Source organism: Homo sapiens, chromosome 9 (genome assembly GCF_000001405.40).
Source record: "Homo sapiens chromosome 9, GRCh38.p14 Primary Assembly".
NCBI classification, from domain to species: domain Eukaryota; kingdom Metazoa; phylum Chordata; class Mammalia; order Primates; family Hominidae; genus Homo; species Homo sapiens.
The window spans coordinates 134,022,919-134,047,722 of record NC_000009.12 but is presented as its reverse complement, the minus strand read 5'-3'; the positions used below and the strand labels follow the sequence as shown (position 1 = coordinate 134,047,722).

The 24,804-nt window shown below is 53.4% G+C and overlaps 2 protein-coding genes across 10 annotated transcripts in view, besides 2 other annotated features; one reads left to right on the top strand and one right to left on the bottom strand.

Annotated features, from left to right (window-relative positions):
- The window catches only part of BRD3 (bromodomain containing 3), a 38,244-nt gene extending 20,826 nt beyond the window's left edge, over positions 1 to 17,418 (top strand). For 5 of the 8 annotated variants that reach the window (XM_047423903.1, XM_006717291.4, NM_007371.4 and 2 more), the window contains exons 7-12: positions 2,302 to 2,430; positions 5,772 to 5,963; positions 7,454 to 7,689; positions 11,399 to 11,691; positions 12,894 to 13,022; positions 14,018 to 17,418. In XM_047423903.1, coding sequence (XP_047279859.1) covers positions 2,302 to 2,430; positions 5,772 to 5,963; positions 7,454 to 7,689; positions 11,399 to 11,691; positions 12,894 to 13,022; positions 14,018 to 14,133 — 1,095 coding nt within the window. In that variant the 3' untranslated portion in view covers positions 14,134 to 17,418. The remainder of the gene's footprint in view (positions 1 to 2,301; positions 2,431 to 5,771; positions 5,964 to 7,453; positions 7,690 to 11,398; positions 11,692 to 12,893; positions 13,023 to 14,017) is intronic. The other 3 variants (XM_047423906.1, XM_047423905.1, XM_017015165.3) reach the window with 1 other exon arrangement.
- Positions 16,136 to 22,242, bottom strand: BRD3OS (BRD3 opposite strand). Of its 2 annotated transcripts, NR_149319.2 has the most exons (4): positions 22,187 to 22,242; positions 21,633 to 21,878; positions 20,461 to 21,515; positions 17,263 to 18,897 (listed from the first exon to the last, which is right to left on the bottom strand). NR_149319.2 is itself a non-coding variant. In NM_001355256.2 (3 exons), exon 3 carries the CDS (start codon positions 20,973 to 20,975, stop codon positions 20,721 to 20,723), a length of 255 nt encoding a protein of 84 aa, NP_001342185.1. In that variant the 5' UTR covers positions 20,976 to 21,515; positions 21,633 to 21,878; positions 22,187 to 22,242; the 3' UTR covers positions 16,136 to 20,720. The 2 variants fall into 2 exon arrangements, 1 of the variants encoding a protein (NP_001342185.1); NM_001355256.2 differs by having other exon boundaries at positions 16,136 to 21,515.
- Positions 21,949 to 22,368: a silencer, noted in NCBI's record as "silent region_20473". NCBI's record gives its function as "represses an Ori minimal core promoter by ATAC-STARR-seq in GM12878 lymphoblastoid cells {active_cell/tissue: GM12878}" and the evidence as "EXISTENCE:reporter gene assay evidence [ECO:0000049][PMID:35858748]".
- Positions 22,679 to 22,808: a silencer, noted in NCBI's record as "silent region_20472". NCBI's record gives its function as "represses an Ori minimal core promoter by ATAC-STARR-seq in GM12878 lymphoblastoid cells {active_cell/tissue: GM12878}" and the evidence as "EXISTENCE:reporter gene assay evidence [ECO:0000049][PMID:35858748]".

Below are 24,804 nucleotides of genomic sequence, written 5' to 3'. Positions count from 1 at the left end.
TCAAGCCCCGGATACAGGCGCCTCACAGCAGACAGGAGTGAGGCGGCCAGTGGGGATGGCCTGGCTTCTGTCCCCTAAGTGCCTCCAAGCCCCACCCCCTCACAAGACGGAAGCGGGACCTGGGTGGGTGGCAGAGCTGAGACCGAGAGCCTGGCCTCCCCCATGCCAGTCTTCTCAAGGCGGCAGCCTCTGCCTGGGCTCTTGTGTGCCTCACAGCAGGTCAGAGTGAGTCTGGTCCCTATGGGGGGTGGTGGTGGGTGCGGCATTTGAGCTGCACCGCCCCAAGCCAGGGTGAGCTCCACCGGGTCTTCCCTGAGCACCTTTCCAGACTCCTGGCTGGCACCTGCCCTCCCTCTGGGAGAGCTCCAAGCCAGCTCCCAGGGACGTGCAGGCAGTTGGCAGAGGTGTGACCTGCCTCCTCCGCCAACTGCCGTGCGGCCCTGGGAAGAGCTGCTGGCAGCCCTGTTGGGCAGTTGTTTTCATCCTGGGAAGCCAGTCGCAGTCATTCTGCCTACCTGAGGCAGGATCTGCTGATGAAACCCTTTTCTTCCTTGATTGACTGGATCTCGGGCAGGACAGACCTGGCTGGCCCAGGCCCCAGAGCCCGGTGCACAGTCAGGTGAAAGTGACGAGCGGGGCCGCCTGGCTCCACTGCCGTGGGTGGGGAAGCTGAGGGCCAGAGCCACGCAGCCCAGAAGCTGCCAGGAGCCTCGGCTGCAGCCTCCAGGGCTGGGGTTTGTGTGTCTCTACCATAGCACAGTTAACAGGAATTTCTGGAACATCATGGGGGGTTCCAGTGTTTGGGCTGGACTCAAGCTCAGCTTAATTCCATTTTGGTCAAAGGGTCTGATTTGCCCTTGAAACCATAATAAAGAAGCTCTAGAAAAACAATTCACTTTAAAGTCATGATCTGCTTTGTTCGGAGCTTCCCACCTCTATCTGTCCTGGCATGGCATGGGGAGAAGCCAGGTGCAGTGGCAGCACTTGCTGCCCGCGACTGTGGCCCGGACGCTGCGGAAAAGGGGCAGTGAATCAGGGAGAGAGGCCTCAGGACCTCTAGATTATACAGATGGAGCTTTTGGGGATGGTTTATCCCGGCACATGCTAAAACGGAAAACTAGCTTTTCCCCCAACATCAGAGGCTTCCAGGTCCCACTGTGCCCCCGGGTTCTTTCTGCCAGCCCTTCCTTCTGGATGGGTCTCATGTCTGAGTGCATAGGGTACGGGCCCTGAGTTGGGGGCGCCCTCTGCGGGTTAGGACCCGGCCCCTCCATCTCACTGGCACCTGGACAAATGCAGCCTGGACCCCACAGAGCGGTCGGGGTAGATTTGCCTTGCCCTTGCGTGTGTCGTCCCTCGAGGTCCCCGACAAGGTGCCTCTCCTTGAAGCCATCCCAGGATGGGAAACTCACTCCCTCGGGCACAGCGTGACCTCTCTTTGCCCCAACTAGTGTGTTCCCAGTGGCCACCTTGAAGCGTCCCTCGACGATCCTGCCTCTGGCCACTCCCTGGCAGAGCCACCTGCACCTCCCAGCTCTGGGGACTGACTGTGTGCCCCTCCTTACCCCTGCCGCCTGGCACTGTCTACCCAGGCCTTGGCCTCAGTTCTCTGCTTGCCAGAGCCAGGTGGGACCTGCGGTGGGTTTTGCTGTAGGGTCTCTGTGTGGCCGAGTAAACGTGGGTGGGTGTCAGCCGACACGCCCCCGTTGCCTCCACCCCTGTGGGGTTCAGGAGCTGCCGCTGGACACAGCGTGGAGTCCCTTAGGTCCAGCTAGGCCCCTGGGATACCAGGGTGCTTCTGTAAGACGCAAGCTGGCTAACAGCTACTGGCTTCCTCGAGGGAAAAAATTACATTTCCTTGTGTAGACTGAGCAGGCCCCCTGTTGTTGGTGGAGTCTGACTTTGCTGCAGCCTCACGCCCCCTGGGGCTGCTGATGGCGTGGCGGCGTGTGAAGATTTACCCGCTTTGTGTGAAGGGAAGCTCTGGACAAGGAAGGGGCCAAGGGACGCCTACGGGAACCTGGGATTTCTTGTTGAGTGCATTTTTCTTCCAATCAGGAGATCTGTCTCTGGAGTCCCAGACCCTCCCTGCCAAGCCATCAAGTCACCCTCTCATGTCCTCACTTTGGGTTTCCTCGTACGAGGTCCCAGAGAGCTGGGGTGTCCTGCCGGCCAGGCCAGTAGGCACTGCCCTGGAGCTGGCAGTGGCTCCTGAGGCTCCAGAGTTCATCTCGTGGGGTGTGGCAGAGAGTCCTGATGCCACGGGCCACGCTCACTGGCCCCTGTCACTGTGTGTTGCAGAGGAAGATGGATGGCCGAGAGTACCCAGACGCACAGGGCTTTGCTGCTGATGTCCGGCTGATGTTCTCGAATTGCTACAAATACAATCCCCCAGACCACGAGGTTGTGGCCATGGCCCGGAAGCTCCAGGTAACCCGAGGCTGGGCACGGGTGGGGCTGCTCAGCTCAGTGCTGTGGGCATCCTGGCCTCAGTGTGGGGTAAGCGCCCAGGTGAATGTCCAGCCGAGGAAGGCCTTAGAGAGCCTCATTCCCTCAACACCTTTTTCCCGAGTGCCAACCAGGTCCCTGTCAGGCTCTGAGCTGGGTTCCAGGAGCTGCCACTGGGGCAGGGCAGCCAGCGAGCAGGTGGGACCACTGGGGCTCTGTGGGGGTGTCGCAGTAGTGAGTCTTTCCCTCCAGGGACTGGTGCGTGTACCAGGTGGGACGGCAGATGCTCTTTCTCTTGCGGCTTCCCTGACTGTAGTTTCCAGCAAGTCTTCTGTGGCAAGGAGAGGCTTGGACACTAGCCTGTCAGTGCAGCCGGTGGATGAATTAGGTGACAGTGGCTTGTGTAGCATTTTGCTTTTCTGACAACAGAAGTAAAAGGCGGATTGGAGAAAATGCAGGAAGCAGTGAGATGTCTTCAGGGAAAACAGGAGTGTCTTGGTCTAGCTCTCAGCGCAGGGACTTTGTGAACATGCACAAACCTCACAGAGATATTTGTGTGTGTGTGTGGACGTGTGTGCGTGTGTGTGCTCCTGCCTGCGTGTGCATTTTTCTGCCAAAGTCCAGGTCCCGCACACATATTTTGGTGTGGGTGGATGTGCCAGAATCTATTCTTACCTTCTCTAATTGTGATCGCAGGTGGTTTGCTTTTATAAATAACAGCACCACTGTTATAAATGTTAATCAAAGGACTTGATTTTTGGAGGAAAGGGGAGAATTATGGGTATGTGTTCTCTTCCAGCATGCTTTTCCTTTTCACGGGACCCAGAATGTCATGTTAAGATGTTCTCAGTCCTTGCATAGACTGTTTTGAAATCCCCGAGCAGCCCATGGTATTATTGTGGATGACACAGGACCCATAAAAGGGGCAGAGAGAGAAACTCGTTCCCCCTGTGGGTCCTGCTGCCTTTCCCACCCTCTCGCGCACAGGGCCTACCCAAGGTCCTCTCCCAGGCACTGCTGCCATTGCCACCCTCTCTGTGCACTGGGTCCTGTGGGTGATGATGGCAGGGTGGTCCTGGAGGTCCCACTACATCCAGAGGAAGCCGTCAGAACCCTGGTTTTATACTGAGACCTCGCTTACTGTGTCTTGAACCCAAAAGACCTTGCAAAGGCCAGTCCTCTGGAGCCTGGTAAATACTGGGTTGAGTTTAACGAGGGAGCTGAGCATAGAGGACGGAAACCCAGGCTTGCAGACCGAGCAGGGAAGCTGGCAGCTCTGCCCCTGCTCCTGAAACAGGTGCTGTTGGATAGACATGGTGCTCACGCCTGTAATTCCAGCACTTTGGGAGGCGGAGGTGGGAGGATCACTTGAGGCCAAGAGTTTGAGACGAGCTGTCTCTACAACAGATTTTAAAAACGAGTCAGGTGTGGTGGTGTGTCCCTGTAGTACCAGCTATTCAGGAAAGTGAGATGGGAGGATCACCTGAGCCCGGGCGTTGGAGACTGCAGTGAGCTGTGGTTGCACAGCACTCCAGCCTGGGCAACAGAGGAGACCCTGAGGCTGATGGATTTCCATGACTGAGCACTATTTAGCAATTGTGCAATTTTATCAGTTGAGCTGTGGGGTTAGAGCCCAACAGCAAAACGACCTGACCTGCATGGCCTTCAAGGCTGTCGGCCGAGCGGGGGCCTGGACCGCTGCTCTGTGGGTTGGGTTGCCTCTGGGGACATCTCCTGAGAGGAGAGCCTGGGATATGAGAGCCTGGGGTGGGCTTCTCCAGAGCTGGGTCCAGCCTGAACAGTGAAGGCATGTCACGTGAGCAGACGGTGTGGATTCAGGTTTCTGAGCTTGGCAAAAAGAAATCTCCCCTCATTTCCACATCACTGTGCCTCCCTGTCTTCAGTGAGCCTGGGCTGCCCCAGGGAGGGGGATGTTTGCTGAGAGGGGTGACGGAGGGCCTAGGTCCTGGTCCAAAGGCTTTCCAAAGTCAATTTTGATAGGAAGTCTGGGTGTGGTGGCTTACCCCTGTAATCTCAGCACTTTGGGAGGCCAGGGTGGGAGGATCACTTGAGCTCAGGGGTTCAAGACCAGCCTGGGCAACAGAGCAGGACCCTGTCCCTACAAAAAATAAAGTAGGCCGGGCGTGGTGGCTCACATCTATAATCCCAGCACTTTAGGAGGCCAAGGCAGGCAGATCACGAGGTCAGGAGTTCAAGAACAGCCTGGCCAACATGGTGAAACTTCGGCTCTACTAAAAATACAAAAAGTTAGCCGGGAGTAGTGGCGCATGCCTGTGATCCCAGCTACTCAGGAGGCTGAGGCAGGAGAATCACTTGAAATCAGGATGTGGAGGATGCAGTGAGCTGAGATCATGCCATTGCACTCCAGCCTGGGCAAAAGAGCAAGACTCTGTCTTGAGAGAAAAAGAAAATTAGTAAAAGTAAAACTTAAAAATGTGTGTGTGTGTGTGTGTGTGTGTGTATATTTGTGTATATATATGTGTGTGTGTATATATGTGTATATATGTGTATATATGTGTGTATATATATGTGTATATATGTGTATATATATGTGTGTGTATATGTGTGTGTGTGTATATATATGTGTGTGTGTGTGTGTGTGTGTGTATATATATTTGAGGCAGGGTCTCACTCTGTCACCCAGGCTGGAGTGCAGTGGCATGATTTCGGCTCACTGCAGCCTCGACCTCCTGGGTTCAAGCAATCCACCCATCGCAGCCTCCCGAGCAGCTAGGATCACAGACATGTGCTGCCATGACTGGCTAATTTTTATATTTTTTTGTAAATAAAGTATGGATAGGACTAGACTTTGGCCTTTTAAGCCAACTTTTGGAGTTCACCGTTCATGAGATGTGATGCTGCAGTCAGTTCCGGGGTGAAGAGATGGGAAGAGGTCAACACTCTTGGACTCCTGTGGCTGTGGAGGACCCTGTCCAAGCTCAAGGGAAGACACTGTTTCCCGTTTCACAGCAGAGGCAGCCCCAGGGAGCTTTGGGCCAGGAGGCTACAAGGATGCATGCATCTTCTAGAGAGGGCTCATGGAGTTGCTGAAGGGAGCTGTGGGCCAGCTCCTGTGTCCCCTCTTCCCAGGCCTGTCCGCAGGAATTGCCTGGGGAGGGAGGGTGGGCAAGCTGGAAGCAACCACAGCCCCCCAGGCAGGCGGGACCCTGTCTCCTCCTAGCCCCACCTTCGTAACAGCTGTGGGTGCTGCCTCAGGGGCACCTCAGAAACCCTGAGGGCCCACACCAAGGGGCAGCCCCATGGGCACCCATGTCTTCAGGGCAGCCTCTGTTCTGCCGCAGGACGTGTTTGAGATGAGGTTTGCCAAGATGCCAGATGAGCCCGTGGAGGCACCGGCGCTGCCTGCCCCCGCGGCCCCCATGGTGAGCAAGGGCGCTGAGAGCAGCCGTAGCAGTGAGGAGAGCTCTTCGGACTCAGGCAGCTCGGACTCGGAGGAGGAGCGGGCCACCAGGCTGGCGGAGCTGCAGGAGCAGGTGGGCACTGGCATGCTTGGGTGGGGTTCAGGGGCTGAGGCGGGATTGCTGGCACAGCAGCCCAAGGTCCGTCCCTTTGCATGGTTCCTTCCTCTGCCCCTGTCCCTCAGCAGCCGCGGTAGTGCTTCCCCGTAAAGACACTCGGAGTGCCCTCCCCAGGTCTGGGGTGGTGCGAGCCTAACCCACAGCACACGTGGGTGGCTGCGGGGACACGTGGCTGGGATGTTTCTGGAGACCTGGCGGGCCTCAGGTGGGAGCTCAGGGGTCATGTGTGGTTATGTGTGCCTTGCTCTGCTCCAGAAAGGCCTGTGAGGCACTTGCAGAGGCCACAGTAGTGCCTGGGCTCCAAGCAGTCACTTGCAGTGGGGTGGGGTGCAGGCTCCAGGGTCCTGAGGGCCCTGCCGTGCAGCTGCCCAGCCCCAGTCCCGCTGCCAGGCTGTGCTTCCTCCCCCTTCTCTGCTTTCCTCGTTTGCAGTATGGGACAAATGTCACCCACTCTGAGCTGTCTTGAGGTCAGATTGAGAAAGATGTGAATTGTTTCCCCAGACCTCTGGCAGCCAGCCAGATGCATGATTTCTGGGACCCCAGATTGGGAGAAAATAGAGCAGGGCTGTCGAGTCAGGAGGGGAACAGCATGAATCAGGGCTGCAAGGACAGCGATGGCCCTGCAGTCCCCAGAGTTGGGCTGGACATTTGATTTTGAAGTGGCAAGGACACACAGCAGGGAAGACGGCTGTGAGGTGGCAGCTCCTCCACCCGCCCTCTGTCTTCCTTGCACAGACCACCCAGAGGCAGGGACAGGCCGTGGACTCACATGGGCAGTGCCTCTCAAGGGGCCTCTCCCATGGAGGTGGCTGCAGTGGGGAGGGCGAGGCGCTTGGCACAATGCCAGCTGCAGGGAGGCCCTGGATTAATGCTGGTTGCTGGCAGTGGATTGTTTTAACCCCGGAGTCCTGCGTGTTATCAAATGGCTTCCCAGAAATCACTGATGAAAATCTCCTTTGTGTGGGCATTTAAACTTCTAGAGAGTCCTTCCTTATCTGAACAATGGTAATAATAAAAATGTTAGCTGCCCACCTAATGTAGATGACGGGTTGATGGGTGCAGCAAACTACCGTGGCACATGTATACCTATGTAACAAACCTGCACATTCTGCACATGTATCCCCGAACTTAAAGTATAATACATTTTTTTTAAAAAGTTAGCTGCCCTCACCGAGTCCCTGTTGTGCCACCCGCGCAGTGCTGAGCCTGTGGCCAGGCAGCTCTTCCCCACTGCAGGCGAAGAAGCCGAGGCGGAGAGGGCTCATGACTCACTGGGGGTCACGGGAGTGAGGGGCAGAGCAGGGCCCAGGTGCTCCTGGTTCACCTCCTCACCCAGCTGAGGCAGCTCCGACATCGCCCCAAGCCCCCTCCAATCCCAGGGCGCCACGCAGCCCCAGTGGTGTGGGCCGTGCCCAGCACCTGCTCAGCCGCCCGCTCTTTTCCAGCTGAAGGCCGTGCACGAGCAGCTGGCCGCCCTGTCTCAGGCCCCAGTAAACAAACCAAAGAAGAAGAAGGAGAAGAAGGAGAAGGAGAAGAAGAAGAAGGACAAGGAGAAGGAGAAGGAGAAGCACAAAGTGAAGGCCGAGGAAGAGAAGAAGGCCAAGGTGGCTCCGCCTGCCAAGCAGGCTCAGCAGAAGAAGGCTCCTGCCAAGAAGGCCAACAGCACGACCACGGCCGGCAGGTGGGCTCCAGACCTGCTCGGGCTCCAAGAGCCCAGCGCTCAGCACGCCATGGGGGCTCATGTAGCAGCAGTGCTGGGATTGGGGGCTTTGTGCCTTGGCCACCTGGAAACCAGGGTGATGGGGGCAGGGAGACAGAGGGCCTGATGAGACCTGTGCTGGGAAGTCCGGGGGCCCAGGTGATGCTGCTCAGTTGTCTGCGGGGCTGGCCTGGATTCTGGGCATTGAAGCGCTGGCACGGCCTGGTCTCCACATCATGAAGCTTTTGGGATGTTTCTCTGGTCTGGGCCAAGGATCTTGACTAGGGGGAGTTGAACGCCCCGTTTTGGACTTGCCCATAGGCAGGGGGCAGGGATGGTGGAATCGTGCACAGCTGCATTCAGCCTCCTTCGGGAGCCCCTGCTGTGGCTGGGCACCACCCTGAGGAGCGTCTGCTAGGGACATGCAGGAGCCACAAAGCAGTGTGAGCTAGTAGGGAAGGAGCTCAGGCCCGGGATGGGAGCTCTCCTGGCCAGGTGGAAGGGAGGCTTCCCAAGGGGGAGGCAACAGCTGTGTGGGAGCAAGCTTGGCAGCAGAGGGCCAGGGAGGGAGTTCCAAGAACAGGGAACAACGGGTACAAAGCCACAGAGGCCAGTAGGACGTGTTCCTTTTGGGAATGAGGGCAAAGTTGGCACCACTGAAAAAGAACAAGTTGGGAAAAAAGGTGAGTTGAGGCTGCTGAGATCAGCCGGCTTTGTTTGAGGTGTTCATGCTTCCTTTTCAAGCAAATGAAGGAGAGTTAGGATTTAAGCTCAACATGATCAGATCCTCGCCACTATGGAGAATAGCTTAGTGGAAATCAGGAATGGAAGAAAGGATACCCCTTTGGAGGTTATGGTGGTTGTGCAGGCAAAAGAAATTGGTGTGGCTCTGGAGATAGACTACTTTGGGAGGCGGCATGGCCAGGCCCTGGTGCTTGGAGGGAGGAGGGGAGGAGCATGGGGGTCCTGGGTTTGGGGTTAGACAGCTGGGTCAGCCATTAATGAAGACAGCGAGTGGAATGGTCGGGATAGGTCTTTCCTTCCCTTATTTTCTCCCTCCCTCCCTCTCTCCTTTTTGGAGGCAGATGCAGAAATCCATTTTTCTTATACAGGTTGAGTATCCTTTATCTAAAATAAGGATGTTTCCAAAATAAAAGGTGCTTCTGATTTTGGATTTTTTCAGATTTTGGAATATTTGCATTATACTCCCCATTGAGCATCTCAAATCTGAAGCATCTCAAAACTGAAGCATCTCAAATCTGAAAATCTGAAATGCTCCAGTGAGCATTTCCTTTGAGCGTCACGTTAAGACTCAGACAGTTTCAGATTTTGGAGCATTTTGGATTTTTGGATTTGGGATACCCAGCTTGTACTATCTTTGTCTGTTTTTAGTGTCAGTATAATGCTGGCCTCAAAAATGAGTTGCAGCCTGGTGTGGTGGCTCCCACCTGTAACCCCAGCACTTTGGGAGGGCCAGGCAGGAGGATCACTTGAGCTCAGGAGTTAGAATCCTACTGTGTTGCCCATAGTGGTCTCAATCTCTTTACAAAAAAAAGTGTTGGTTGGGATATAATATTTGAGTGATTAGAGGCAAGTAAAAAGTGATTTGAGGCCAGGTGCAGTGGCTCACACCTGTAATCCCAGAAATTTGGGCCAACATGGTGAAACCCTGTCTCTACTAAGAACAGAAAAAATTGGCCGGGCTTGGTGACGGGCGCCTGTAATCCCAGCTACTCAGGAGGCTGAGACAGGAGAATCTCTTGAACCCGGGAGGTAGAGGTTGCAGTGAGCCGAGATCACACCACTGCACTCCAGCCTGGGCGACAGAGCAAGACTTGGCCTCAGAGAAAAAAAGAAAAAAAAGATTTGAAAGGTGTTGCCCCTCTTCTGTTTTCTGGAGTAAATGTATAGAATTGATATTAATACTTAAATGTTTGGTAGGATTCACTAGCAGAACCATCTGGGCCTGGAGTTTTGATTGTTGGAAGGTTTTTAATCATGAATTCAATTATTTTAATAGGTATAGGCTTATTAGATTATCAGTTTCTTCTTGAGTGAGTTTTAGAGGTTTATGCCTAAGGCGTTAATCCATTCCACTCGGATTGTCAAACTTATGGACATAAGTCTATTGGTTAGTATTTCTCTATTAGCCTTTTATTGTCTGTAGGGCCTGTAGTGATGTGTCTTTTTCATTCCTGATATTGGTAATTTGTGTCTTTTTTTCTTGGTGAATCTGGATAGAGACATACCAATTTTATTGATCTTTCAAAGAAACATAATTAGATTTCATTGATGTTTTTAAAAAAAATTTTTACTTTTATTTATTTCTGATCTTTACTGTTTCCTTTGCTTAGTTTAGACTTGGCTTCTTTTTACTTTTTAAGGTAGAAGATTAGATTACCGACTTGAAACCTTTTTTTAATTTTTTATTTTTTAAATTTTTTTGAGAAGGAGTCTGGCTGTGTTGCCTAGGCTGGAGTGCAGTGGCACGATCTCGGCTCACTGCAACCTCCGCCTCCAGGGTTCAAGTGATTCTCCTGCCTCAGCATCCCTAGTAGCTGGCATTACAGGTGCCCGCCACCGTGCCTGGCTCATTTTTGTATTTTTAGTAGAGACAGGGTTTCACCATTTGGCCAGGCTAGTCTTGAACTCCTGACCTCAGGTGATCCACCTGCCTTGGCCTCCCAAAGTGCTGGGATTATAGGCGTGAGCCACCGCGCCCAGCCCTGCGTTGTCCTTTTTTCCTGAACATACTCCTTTTTCTGAAGTTTACTTTGTCTGAAATTAATATACCCACACCAGCTTTCTTTTGACTAGTGTTTGCATGGTATATTTTTTTCTCACTTTTTTCCTTTTAACCTACTTAGAACATTATATTTAAAGTGGCATTTGTGTAGACACTATGTAAGTGGGGTCTTCTTGTTTTTTTAATCCAACCTGAGCATCTCTTCCTTTTAGTTGGTGTGTTTAGACCATTTATATTTCTTTCTTTTTTTCTTTTTCTTGAGGCAGAGTCTCGATCTGTCGCCCAGGCTGGAGTGCAGGGACAAGATCTTGGCTCACTGCAGCCTCCGCCTCCCTGGTTCAAGCGATTCTCCTGCCTCAGCCTCCCGCATAGCTGGGACTACAGGTGCCCGCCACCACGCCCGGCTAATTTTTTGTATTTTTAGTAGTAGAGACGAGGTTTCACCGTGGTAGCCAGGATGGTCTCGACCTACTGACCTCGTGATCCACCCGCCTCGGCCTCCCAAAGTGCTGGGATTACAGGCGTGAGCCACCGCGCCCGGCCCTAGACCGTTTATATTTCACATAATTATTGATATAATTGGATTTCGGTCTCTCATTTTATTATTTTCTTTTTCCTCTGTGTTTTCTGTTCCTTTGTTCCCCCTTTTTTGCCTTCTTTTGGATTACCTGAATACAGAGATCATTTCTTGACCTGTGGAGTTTGAGACGCCTATGGGGTGTAGAGAGGAACGAACCTCTGTAATTGTTTCCTGGCCAAGGGCTGGAAACCCCGCAGCTGGGAGCGACTTTTCTAACCTTGGATTTTCTGCCTTGGGGCACCACTTTGGGAAGAAAGCTTGGTCCCAGAGAGCAGCCTGCTGTTGGGAGGAAGGGGTGTGTGCAGTGGGCTCCCACGGCAGGTAGACGGAGACTCAACACCACGTTGCTCTGTCTCCTGCCCCAGACAGCTGAAGAAAGGCGGCAAGCAGGCATCTGCCTCCTACGACTCAGAGGAAGAGGAGGAGGGCCTGCCCATGAGCTACGATGAAAAGCGCCAGCTTAGCCTGGACATCAACCGGCTGCCCGGGGAGAAGCTGGGCCGGGTAGTGCACATCATCCAATCTCGGGAGCCCTCGCTCAGGGACTCCAACCCCGACGAGATAGAAATTGACTTTGAGACTCTGAAACCCACCACTTTGCGGGAACTGGAGAGATATGTCAAGTCTTGTTTACAGAAAAAGCAAAGGAAACCGTTCTGTAAGTTGCCTGCGTGGAGCGTGGTGCTTGAAGTTCCTCTCCCCTCCTTGGCCTGCCCCTCCTGTCACTCCTCACGGACCCTGTGCGGCGAGCTTGGGCACAGGGCTGCCACGCTGTCTTGGCTCCTTCGTCCCACCACAGATGCCCTGAGGATATCTGTGCTCACCCAGGGCCAGTGGGCTTGGGGCTGAACCCAGGCCTGAGCCCCACCCAGCCAGAGCCCTCTTTCCCTGTTCTTGGGGACATGGGCAGCACTGCGTGCCTTGGCCTTAACCTTGTCCAAGGAGTGCGCGACTCTGGGGCTGGGCTCCGGCCCCAAACCCCATTCATTCAGGGCCCAGTTGGGGTCCTCACTGCATGCCTTCCTGAGGCTCCCCTCCATTTGGGGCCTTGGCTGCAGGTGACCTCTCATGGTCCCTTGCAGGGCAGACCAGCTTGTCTTATAACAAGGACACCCTCCCTTTGACTGGGGTCACAAGTCCAGAAGCCTCACAGGACGGACCCTGGGGCACCGGCCCAGGCTTCCCTGAAGTCAGTGGCAGGAACGAGTCACTGCTGGGGTCTGCAGGTCTGGCAGAGTAGGAGGGAGGGCAGACCCGAGGCAGCCCTTGTGGCAGCCCCCATAGGCTGTCAAGTGAGTGCAGGGCTCACTTGAACTTGCATGTGGCCTCTCGGGTGTGCATGGGCCTCACTTGCTCCTTTTCCTGGATGGAATGTCTGTGTGGTCATGGTGCGTCTGACCCACGGTAAGTCACCGGGTCAACTTGGAGGGAGCGACTCAGGAGTGTCAGGCAGTGGAGACCGGGCCTCCTGCTCGGGCAGATGGAGAGCAGCGGCCCTGGTGAGGCAGGTCCATGAATCAGAGGCTCTGCCCTGCACATGAGGGACGTTGGCCAAACCGCATCCTGTCCGTGCACCTGTTTGCGCCATAGGAATGGCCTCTGTCACCTTAGGATCCAGGCTTTGCTCACCCTGAGGGCTCAGCAGATGTGGGTGGTGGTGGGTCTGTCTCATCCCAGTCATTTCTGCCACTCGAAGCCCTGGTGACAGCTTTGCATCTGTCAGCTCCCAGACTCATGAAAGCTGGGCAGCTGGCATGGATGCCAGTGTGCAGGGCTGGGGCCTTGGCCACCTGGATGCAGCCCTGGCTCCTGCCCCATCGGTCTGCTCTGCAGTCTGAGTGCCCATTTGTTCCCCGACAGCAGCAAGCGGGAAGAAACAGGCAGCCAAGTCGAAAGAGGAGCTAGCTCAGGAAAAGAAGAAGGAGCTGGAAAAGCGTCTGCAGGATGTCAGCGGGCAGCTGAGCAGCAGCAAGAAGCCCGCCCGGAAAGGTACCGCTGGCGGCCGCTGTGCCACCCCTCTTTAGGGGGGTGGGGGGTGTCAGCAGTAGGGGTTTGAGCATCGAGCAGGCCCACGTCTGAGTGTGGCTTACCTCCTGATGAGCTCCATGTTCTTAGACGAGCTCTTGAGCTCCTGAAACCTCCATTTCCTGGTCTGTCACTGGGGGTCATACCCCAACCCTGCAGGGAGGTGTGCACATGTCAAGTGTGTGTGAACACAGCCCATTCCAGGGCACCACAGACAGAGGACCCCCCAGGAGAGGGCTCTTGTGGGGCTGGACTGGGCAGCCCAGCCAGTGAGCTGGGCTCACCGTGAGCTTTCTGACTGTTCCCTGGCAGTGGCATCAGTTCCATGGCAGGCCGAGGTAGCAGAGGCGGGAGGCCCAGCCCCATGCCCTGCGCTTTGCCAGGTCCTTTGCTCAGGGGAGCCAGCATTTGAGCCCTTGCCTCCTTTTTCTGGACCCTGTTAGAGCACACATCTCTTTTCCTGGCTTCCAGGACACACATATGGGGGGGACAGTAGGGTCCTATCTGGACTGGAGCATGTTCTAGCTGGGGGCCATGGCCTTGCGACATGGTTTGCCCAGTGTCGAGACAGGGCCCATGACCCTGCCCGCTGAAGGGGTCTGTCTCCTGTAGTCACTCTTTGGACGCCCCAGGCAGAGTAAGCGCTCCAGAAACGCCAGCAGCTGGTGTTCCTGTCGCTGCTGGTGGCCATGTGACTGGTGGATGTTTTTGATGGGCAGCCTTTCTCGCATCCATCATTTCCTGTTAGTAGTCTGCATTCATTTTTTTCCTGTCTCAAGTATATTCAGATAGTCTTGTTGACCTGATTAATTTCAATAAATACTTATTAAACGACTGGGTCAGGAAGTGGGTGGGTCGTGGCACCCAGTGTGATGGTGTCACGCTGGCATGGACGACATGCCGCCAAGCGGGTCAAGAAGCGGGTGTGCGAGCGCATCTCCCTGCCCATGTCTCCACAGAGAAGCCCGGCTCAGCACCCTCAGGGGGCCCGTCCAGGCTCAGCAGCAGCAGCTCCTCCGAGTCTGGGAGCAGCAGCTCCAGCGGGTCCAGCTCTGACAGCAGTGACTCAGAATGAACTGGCTTCGGACAGAACAGGACAGATGGATGTCGCACACGCCGAGACTCTGCCGTACCCCTCTGTGGTTCATATTACTACTTCTGTTCCATGGTGTGCAGGTCTGCTTCTTAATTCAGTGTTATGATATCTTCCAGTTTTTGCTTTCATAGGTCAGAGATCTATCTTGTGTGTGCGTTAGACTTGATGAGAAGGTGTGAACTCTGCAGAAAGTCTCTTCTTCATCACTGAATTCAGTCACTTGGAGATGACAACTTCAAATGCTAACCCGATGACCCCAGAAAACCGTGTGAGATTCGTACCGAAGAACCTTGTGGAATCCCTTTGCTTAGGCCCAACCTGGTCGATAGCTCGAGAAAGAATTTTTTCCAAGGAAATGTCTCGGATATGGGTACTGTATTTGAAAGCTGTTAGCTTTGTCAACACGCATTGTCCTTGTCATTTGGGCCCCGAGCTCTGACCCTCGTGTCTGACGCGGCCACCTCTTTCTGGAGGGGCTGAGGACAGATGTGCCTGCTTGTGGAGACCAGGCTGGGCCTAAGCGAAGGGTCATCGCAGCCCCAGCCCGGAGCGTGGAGCCCTTGGGGGGTGGTCGGGTGGGATGTGCGTTCTCCGCTCGTGGTGATGTCAGGAGCTCCTCGGAGGGAACAGAGCGGCTGTGTATGCAGCCTGCAGGTTTCCATACACTGAAGCTTTTACCTCAACTTTAAAAAAAAAAAAAGAAGAAAAGATTTAAAAAAAAAAAAAAAGGAGACTTTTTTTGTAAGGTTCGGCAATTTTCTACGGAAGTCCAGCCCGCTGTGAGTCCCCGCCTGGCTAGCGCTGCCCCTGCTGCTGCTGCCGCGCCACCCTTGGGAACCACTTCCCGAGCTTATGTGTATATAAATAGTTATTTATTAACATCATTGGTCATTTTTAAAAAAAAGAAAATAAGAAAAAACCGCAGAAGAAATGCATTCACACAGTCGCAGAGATGCAGGCCTTGCCAGTGGTGTGCCGGGCGCGGGTCCTGTCTGGCGGCGGCCTGTCGTCTCCAGGTGCTAACTCCTGCCACCGCGCGGTGCTCACCCACGTCTGTTCGCGCGCTCGCCCCTGGGTTTGTTGGGTTTTTTGGTTTTTTTCTTTGTGGTTTTTTTTTTTTTTTTTTTTTGTATGAAACTTGGAGGCTTACAGGTATAGACAGCTTTCAGCTACAGCACATTCTAATTTTTTATTTTGTTTAGTTCTTTTGTATTCACTTCTGGTCTCTTTAAGACTGTTTTAAAAGAAATCAATTTAGGGAACCCCAGTTATATAATATAAACTTTGTAATCTGAGAGAAAAAATGTATAGTAAATCTAAGTCTTGATTTTTAACTTTCTATTGTAAAAAATAATAATATACAGAGTTTAATAGAAGGTGATGTTTTGGTTTTGTTTTCCCAGAGGCTGCCATATGGTCTTTGAGTACGGGGATGTCCCAAACTGGCCCACCAATGAGCATGGCGGCTCCGGCCAGGAATGCCAGAGTTAGCCTCCCAGGCTTGCGGGTGGACATGCCTGCTCCCTGCCAGCCTCCAGTGGCCTGGCCAGGCCCTCCCGAGCCTGTCTGCCCTCCCCAGGGGTGGAGGAGTCTCTGGGCCCCAGGAGGATTCCCTCCCGGAGACTCGCACGGTGCTCCCTGCTCACGCGTTGTCACAGTTAGTCCGGAAATGACTGAAACCAGGCATTCTCCCGGACCTCAGCGTGGGGGAGCCTCCAGGCAGACGCTGGGTATGGAGCTGTGGTGTGGTCTGTCCTGTATGGTGGCCAGTGCTTTCTGCCAGCATTTCTGGATGGATATAGGGACTATCATTAGTATCCTAATACACGGTGATTTTAAAACAACCATAAAATTGATTCAGAGTCCACTGACCCTTACAGATGTAGGTATACCCTTACTGGAGAGGGAACTCTGATGAGGAGATGCTGGTAAATTATCATTTTTTAAATTGCTGGTGAGTCTGACACTTGGTGAGTTTTCAGCCAGTTTGTTAAACTTTTAATTAAGTTTTGTTTATAATAAAAATATAAATGGATTTGAAAGTTTCCATTTTTTAAAGTTACCCTCGTTTTCAAAGGTATTTTCTAAACAGATCTTTAATGGACTATTTAAACCGAATTTAAGGAATTCACACACGACAGTTGACAGGTCTTCACGCAGGCTGGTTGGTAACGTGCTGCCAGCACAGGGCTGGGTGATACGTACACCCTAAGCCGGGGGTGCCTGGGGCTGGGGGGCGCTCCTTGCAATGCCCCTCCAGCCACAGGGCAGTGAGGTGCTGCCTGTGTGAGCCGTCGGGGGAGCGGCCGGCTGTGGGGGCAGCGCAGCAGGAGCATCGTGGGGCCTTTCCTTCTCGGCTGGTTCTCTGTGACGGTGGCGTCGGCTCGCCTCTGCTCCTTTCATCTAGAAAGAAGCCACTGACCCTGACAGCCCACGGCGGGTACACTGAGCAGCTGCATTGGTGCTGTCACTTTTTTAAGGCTTTCTGTCCAGACTTCAACACTGGTTTCTTTTCAGAGTTTCGAAGGATTAATGACTTCCTCAGCGCCCTTGCTGGCGGGCTGAGGGTGACAGTCACGTCCGTTTCTTCTGTATTAGAAGGCTGCGGTGATTCAATTAGATTGTCCCACTGCTGAGACCTGTAGGGCAGCTTCTAACATGCTTTTTTCAAGGGGAGAGGAGTAGTGACAAGTCGTGTGTCGGAATTGGATTTGAGAACACTCTGAATGACCCCTGGAGGCCGAGGGGGCAGGCTTCGGGCGTGAACTGAACTCCAGACCCCTCTTTGTGTTGGGCAGTGTCATCTTGCTTACAAACTGTAAGACACATTTTTTTGTGTGTTTGTTTTTGTTGTTGTTCTTTTGCAGCACTCACGCCTCTGACAGTCTTTTGGGAAAGAGTAACACCCACATACAGAATTTGTCACATCCAGAGTAGCACTGTTCCTTAATACTGGCATAATGCTTCCAGGAAGTTTTTCTTTTTTATATTTAAAATGTTACTTTTCTGTATGATGTGCATGCAAGTTTACCGTAACTTTTCTTAAACTTTTTAGTGCCGTTTCTAGTATATTCCTGTAAATGTCAGTTACTGAAAATGAGTCCAATGTAAGTAGTTTAGCTTGTTTATTGCAATGCTGGCCTCAACACAACAGAATAAAAATGGTAGAAAGTACTCTTTGATGTTTCTGGTAATCATGGACCCTTCTCCTGGGGCATTTGTTTTGTTTTCATAATAAAAAGCAAAAAAAAAAAAAAAAAAAAAGACTGTTTTTTTTTTTTGCATTTTCCTGTGCTTTCTGTGGGGGCTCCCAGCCTCTCTCCTGGAGCCTGGAAATGTCTGGAAGCACCTGGTCTGGAACAGCCTTCACTGGTCCACAGCAAGGGTGCTGAGCTCCCCACACTTGACATCCTGTAACTCTTGGCAAAAACACCCAGAGCATCCAAAAGGGGCCCCAAAAAACCATTTAAAGGCAGGATGCAGTGGCTCGTGCCTGTGATCACAGCACTTTGGGAGGCTGAGGCAGGAGGATGGCCTGAGGCCAGGAGTTTGAGGCTGCAGTAAGCCATGATTGCATCACTGCACTCCAGCCTGGACAACATCTCTTAAAAAATAATAATAATCAAACCATTAAGTAGCTCTTGTCCTGAGCCCTGGCAGGATGAAGGGAGCATCATTTCTTGCCTCACTAGGAAGCCACAATCCCCTTTACTGACAGTTCATTGGTTCCCTGGAACAAGCTGCCCTCTTCGAGACAGCCAGGTTCTGTGCTCTTCTAGTCAACCTGGCCGCTTGTCCCCTCCCTCTGCACCTCAGTCTATCCTGAAGTGGCTTGTGATGCGCTCAGTCTAATGGAAATGCAAATAAAATCCCAAAAGCAGATTTTCATAGTGAGGTTTAACTGCCAGACTGGAGGCTGGCGTGCAGCGCGGCTCGCCGAAGAATGACAGCTCTGGAACTAGGCCTGGAAGAGACATGCCAGGGGAGAAGGTTCTGGCTGGGCCCACGTCTAGGCCTGAGGACCTGTCCAGCCCGACCCCAGATGGGGTCAGGGGGCACGGTGACACTCCTGGCCAGACTGTGACCCTTCTCATCCAGACCAGCCTCCTTGAGGACGGACATGGGGCCTTGTCCGCCCCAGGCAGATGGTGTCTTCCTGCAGCCTAAGCGGCTTAGTGCCAGCTCCTTGTGCGTGGCCCACACGCCCTGACCCCTGCAGAGACTGGCCCTTGAGCACACATCCTGCCAGCGTTGCAACGTGACCTCAGACCCCATTCTGCATGTCTGCGCTGCCTCCCATGCTTGGGGCCAACCCCGCCACAACCCGTCCTCAGGGGAGTCTGTGGTGCGGTGAGAAGGTGGCACACAGGCATTCCAGATTTGCCTCTGGAGTTTGCTTTCTTCCCAGGCAGGACTTAAACTGAAGAACTGAAAAGATGCAGACAAACCCTACCTAGCGGATGTGGAGTGCTTCCTTGGCGGGCCCGCCTTGCTGTGGGAGTGTCAGCCGGCGGGGCAGGTCCTCCAGCCCCATGCTCACTCCCTCTGCAGCTCCATGCGGCAATCCTGGAAGTCTGACTTCAAATCTCCCAGCTGCAGGCTGCAAACAAGCCAGGACTCTCGCAGAAGGGACTCGGGCTGTGCAGGAGGCTGCTGCCGACCAGGCCTCTGGCAGGACATTTGGGGAATGCACTTTGACCCAGCAGTTCCACTTCTAGGACGTTTGCGAATGAACTTGCACAGCTGCAAAGAGAAGCACGAACAGAGTACAGGCACATTCAGAACATGCTGTTTGCACAGATGACAACCTGGATGCTGTCACTGTGCCCGTCTGTGGGCTCACGGGAGAGCTGCGAGTCAGAGGTTAAAAGCATGAAGTGGGCCGGGTGCGGTGGCTCACGCCTGTAATCCCAGTACTTTGGGAGGCCGAGGTGGGCAGATCACCTGAGATTGGCAGTTCGAGACCAGCCTGGCCAACATGGTGAAACCTTGTCTCTATTAAAAATAGAAAAATTAGCCAGGCGTGGTGGCAGGCACCTGTAATTCCAGCTACTCAGGAGGCTGAGGCAGGAGAATCGCCTGAACCCAGGAGGCAGAGGTTGCAGTGAGCTGAGATTGTGCCATTGCACTCCAGCCTGGGCAACAGAGTGAGACTCTCTTAAAAAAAAAGAAAAGCATTAAGTGAATGCCCAGTCTGTACAGTTGAGCAAGAAAGAAAATGGCGGATACAAGAGGCATGGTGCAGGATGAGGCCGTCAGAATCACGTGACCGTGTGTGCATGCTGAGGAGCTGTGGGACGCATCCCCAGCTGCCGGCCGGGTTCTCCCCACGGAGAGCACTTGTGCTTTGCTTTATGCCTTTGTGTATTGCAGTCTTTAGCAATCAATTACATATTACTGCTATAAAAAATGGGAAGCCAAGTAGGATATTACGAACAAGGATAAAAATAAGTGTGAGGAAGGGGAGGAGTGTATTAAAGGATGTTTATTTAGAAAAGAAAAATTAGCTTTGACAAGAGACACCTGCACATTTGTGTAGCCAAGGAGATGTCAGTGAGAGCAGAAGGTGAATCCTTCATGGAGACTGAACACAGGTGGCCAGCTGTGGCAGCGACAGTGAACACATGTCAGTGTCGGCCTGGGGGCAGAGTGGTTGAATGCTTTAAGTCTGGTGGAGAGCCTGCCTTGCTCAGCCCTGTTACTACATGGAAGTCACTGTAGGCCACACATGTGCAACTTACAACTCTCGGGTTTCCTGAATGTGTTTTGGATGCACTGGCCAGTGGGCCGCAAATGCTTGGAAGCTACCATGATGCTTCACAGATGATGATCATTTTGGTAACTCAAAATATAAATGCGGGCTTGGTGCGGTGACCCATGCCTGTAATCCCAGCACTCTGGGAGGCTTGAGCCCAGGACTATAAGACCAGACCAGCCTGGGCAACATAGGGAAACCCTGTCTCTATATACAGTAGTTCGCCTGGAGCCACAGCTACCTGGGAGGCTGAGTTTGGGAGGATCACCTGAGCCCAGGAGATAGAGCCTACAGTGAGCTGTGATTGTGCCACTGTATTCCAGCCTGGGTAACAGAGTGAGACCCCGTCTCAAAAAAGCAAAATACAAAATGTAATGCGACAAAGCTCCTGGTGAGATGCTGCTGCTACTCCGCCATTTATGCTAAAAACAAAAAACTAAAACCTAAAAAACTTGAAAAGGTGGTTTGTAATGGGGATGGGAGGGTTACTCTTGGCCTGGTTTAAACCAAGCATCTAGCAGTGCCCGGGCCTATGCTGTCCCTAGCAGCACCTGGAGAATTCAAATGTCACAACAGCTGACCACGGAGGGGACTCTAGAGGGGAAGTGTCCTGTGCACCAGTCACACCGCGGCTGTGCTGAGGGGTTCGGGGGCCAATTCTGCGCTTCTTGGGTTCTTACACCACAGTTTGATCTTCACGTTCATTATTCAAAATCTTCCAGCAAGGATTGGAAATCAACAAGACAACTGAATGAAACTCAGGTCTGTTTTCCTCAAAGTGTGGTCCTGGGTTCAGGTGCTCACATCGGAATTACATAATTGTGCAAAACTTGGACTGCCCTGTGTCCCTAGAGACCTCGAGCTTGTTTTTGTCTCGGACCAAGATGGCCTCATTTCCATACTGTGAGTACCACATGCTTCGGCTCCTGCTCAGGTACGTCCCAGGTGGCACCGACTCCAACTTCTGCTGTTGCTGCTGCCAGATGAGCAAGGAGGTGTCCCTGTACCGGAGGCGGGCGTAGCCTTCAGACAAGGCCTTCTCTGCCAGGGGGACACGGCCACTCATCCCCTCCCCCGTCCCGCTGGACTCCTGGGAACCCTGCTGTTCTGAGACGGCCCACGCGCACTAAATTAACGGACAGCTTTCCCAGCTTTGGGGCTTAAGGATCCCTCGTTTAACTGAATGGTAGAAATTAGGAATTCCGCCCATTTGCAGGCAACGTCCTCAGGAGGGTTGTGTGGTGAGGAAATGAGGCGGCCTCACCATTCTGAAGACACCTGAGACCCATTCAGGGGACCGCACACAGGTCAGAGCGGCGCCCGGCCACAGCTCTTCCGGGTGCAGCTGTGTGGAATTGACAGGGACGAGGCGTCACACCCTGGGGGGTGATTCTGCCACCATGGCCTGGACCACTGAGCTTGAAGAGATGGATCCAGTGCCCTGAGGAAGGGACATGGTGGCCCCAGACGCAAGCTGGAAGGAGCTCCGGTGGCACGCCCCGCACGCATCTGTCCGGGCCAGCTTTCAGGGCAACGGCTGTTCTGACCCACCCTGGGGATCCAGCCCCAGCGTTTGTTCAGGTCTCGTCTCTCCCCAAAGGTGCTGCTGCAAAGGAACGAACGTGCTGTCAGGAGAGGGGAAGTCAAGCGCCCCGGCAGCGGCGGCAGTCTGCAGCGCAGCATCAAGTCTCTGGGGGTCAGCGGCCTAGATCGAGCTACTTACGTCCCGTGGGGCAGCCTGGGAGCTGGGTGGAGAGTGAGACGGGCGCCCAGTGCCAGCTTTTTCAGTCACTGGGAGGTGCTGGGGAGGCTGCTTGTTGGGGCTTCAGGGTCTCCATCTGTGAAACAGGAGCCAGCGGCGCTTGAAAGGGCGCGGGTTCCCGGAGACGCCGCCAGGCGTCAGCCCCGGGACCGGAAGGGGCCCCCAGGGCCGCCTTGCTGCTCCGAGCATCCAGCTCCCGTGAGGCCCCTGGACCCAAACAAAAACGATGTCAGGAGAAAACAAACAGGGAAGCATCGCAACCCACTCCCGAACGCCTTCCCAGCTGCGCAGCGTCAGGGACCTCCCCTCCTGGGATGCCTGCGCTAGGTCAGCCTCAGCTTCCCGGGCCCCCATCGCGCGTCCCCGCCACCTGCGCGCACCCTGGGGTCCCCGTCGCGTGGCCCGCGGCCCCCATCCCCGCGCCCCAGACCCCGCGCGCTCTGGGTCGCCCCATCCTCCAGCCCCCTATCGTCTGCCCGCATCCCCGGGTCCCCCACGTCGCCCGCCCCAGTCACCGCTCGTCGCGGGCCTCGGAGATGCGGGCAGCGGCGCGACGCACTGCGGGGCTCCCAGGGCGGGGCCGGCGGCCGCTGGGCCGTGTCTCCATGGCAGCGCCGCAGGCCTGGCGAGCCGAGCGCAGAGGCTGGGCAGGCGTGTGCGACGAGCCCAAGCCATCGATCGCTCCGCGAGGAGGGGCTGGGCCCGCCCCGAATAGGAACTGGAAGAGGAGGAGGAGGGGCTGGAGGAGGAGGGGCTGGAGGAGGAGGGGCTGGAGGAGGAGGAGGGAGGAGGAGGAGGAGCTGGGAGAGGAGGGGCTGGGAGAGGAGAAAGGGCTGGATGAGGAGGAGGGGCTGGAGGAGGAGGAGGGGCTGGGAGAGGAGGAGCTGAACGAGAAGGAGGAGCAGAAGGAGGAGTGGAGGAGAAGGAGGAGCAGGAGGAGGAGCTGGGGGAGGAGGAGGAGCTGAGAGAGGAGGAGGAGATGGAGGAGGAGGGGCTGGATGGTGAGGGGCTGGGAAAGGAGGAGGGGCTGGGAGCGGAGGTGGGAGGAGGGGCTGGCAGAGGAGAAGGGGCTGAGGAGGTACTGGAAAAGAAAGAGGAGCAGGAGCTGGAGGAAGACGTGGAGGAGGAGCTGGAGGAGGATGAAGAGAAGGAGTGGGACGCCCACAACCCTGTTAGTAAGACACTGCCGGACTGTATGGTCTTATCATCTTGGTTTTCGTATTTCTGCTTGTGTGGTTACTTTTGCCACTGCTGTTACTGCTTTTATTAGTATTCTTACTCTCAGTAATTGATACAATTATTTTTAATTAATTAAATGTCCGGGCTTACTATCTCAAAAATAGGTCTTGAATTTCTCCATCTCATCCAACCAAGCCAGGCCTCTATACTGCTCATTTGGACTCCTCAACAGCCCCATGAAAGCAAGGTCTATTTCCTTTTCTCACTCCACCTCCAATCATACTCCAATAGCACTCTTTTAGTATCTACCCTTTTCCCCTAATTTTATGGTTTTCTCCAATGCCAATTAAGAAAACTAGCATAATGGAACCTGGTGTGGTGGCTCACCTCTGAGTCCCACCTACTTGGGAGGCTGAGGCAGGAGGATCCCTTGAGCCAGGAGTTCGAGGCTGCAGTGAGCCATAATCATGCCACTGCACTTCAGCTGGGACGAAACAGCAAAACCCCATCTCTAAAAAAAAAGAAAATAAGCATAACAGACATCCAAGGAAGATGCTTAGTGTGAGCACTAAGCCCACAGCTGTGGAACGCACATTCTTTTTTTTTTTTTTTTTGAAAGGGAATCTCACTCTGTCACCCAGGGTGGAGTGTGGTGGCACGATCTCAGCTCACTGCAACCTCCGCCCCCCAGGTTCAAGCGATTCTCCTGCCTCAGCCTCCTGAGTAGCTGGGACTACAGGCGCCGGCAACCACGCCCAGCTAATTTTTGTATTTTTAGTAGAGACAGGGTTTCACCATATTGGCCAGGCTGGTCTCGAACTCCTGACCTTGTGATCCGCCTGCCTCGCACTTTCTTCACAAGTACCTACACAGGACGTTTAGCAAAACTGATCACATGCTGGACCATAAATCAGTTTCAACAAATTTGAAAACGTTTAAATCTTACATGATCTCCCAGTCTTCCGACCTGGGAAAAGACAGCAACCGAAGTTATACTGCTTTCAAGAGACACAAGAACAGGCCTGTATTCAAAGACCCATTTAACACTTTTACCTCTATCTGGCTGGGTGCGGTTTTCACGCCTGTAATCCCAGCACTTTGGGAGGCCTAGGCGGTCACATCACTTGAGGTCAGGAGTTCGAGACCAGCCTAGCCAACATGATGAAACCCTGTCTCTACCAAAAATATAAAAAATTAGCCCAGTGTGGTGGCAGGCGCCTGTAATCCCAGCTACTCAGGAGGCTGAGGCAGGAGAATCTCTTGAACCCAGGAGGCGGAGGTTGCAGTGAGCTGAGATTGCACCATTGCACTCCAGCTTGGGTGACAGAGTGAGACCCCATCTCAAAAAAAAAAAAAAAAAATTGCCTCTAAGCTAATATAATTTGTTCTATGCCTTGAACTAAATAATTTGAATATTTAGTTACCTGTAAGCTTCCTTTTCCTGTCGTTGTCAAAACCAAATAGGACTTATATTTCTGTTCGAAACATTTACTTATGTTTTGTTTTCCAGAGTCAAAAAGCTGTTTTTCCTTTTAAGCTATTTTATAGCTACAACAATTAAGTAAAAAATGAAGATTACCTCTCTTTTTCTACCTGATATCTCCAGAATCTGAAAATGATTTAAAATCCCATTGGCTCCAATCTGATTTGATATCAAACACCCTCCCTCTAGGCCCAGGGACAATTGCAGAAGAGGTAAACGCATGAGATTGTAAGGGCTGGTTTCGAGGGATAAAATTTGTTCAGACCCTCTGAATCAAAGATGGTTCACAAATACCTAAATAGCTGATAGCTCAATACATAAAACTTAGAGATAAGTCAATTTTGTAACCTCACGTTTTGGATTTTGGTTTTTGCCTCTTATGTTGCACAAAAGGTTGTTTTTTGTTGTTGTTGTTGTTTGTTTTATTTTGATTTTTTTGAGATGGAATCTCGCTCTGTCGCCCAGACCGGA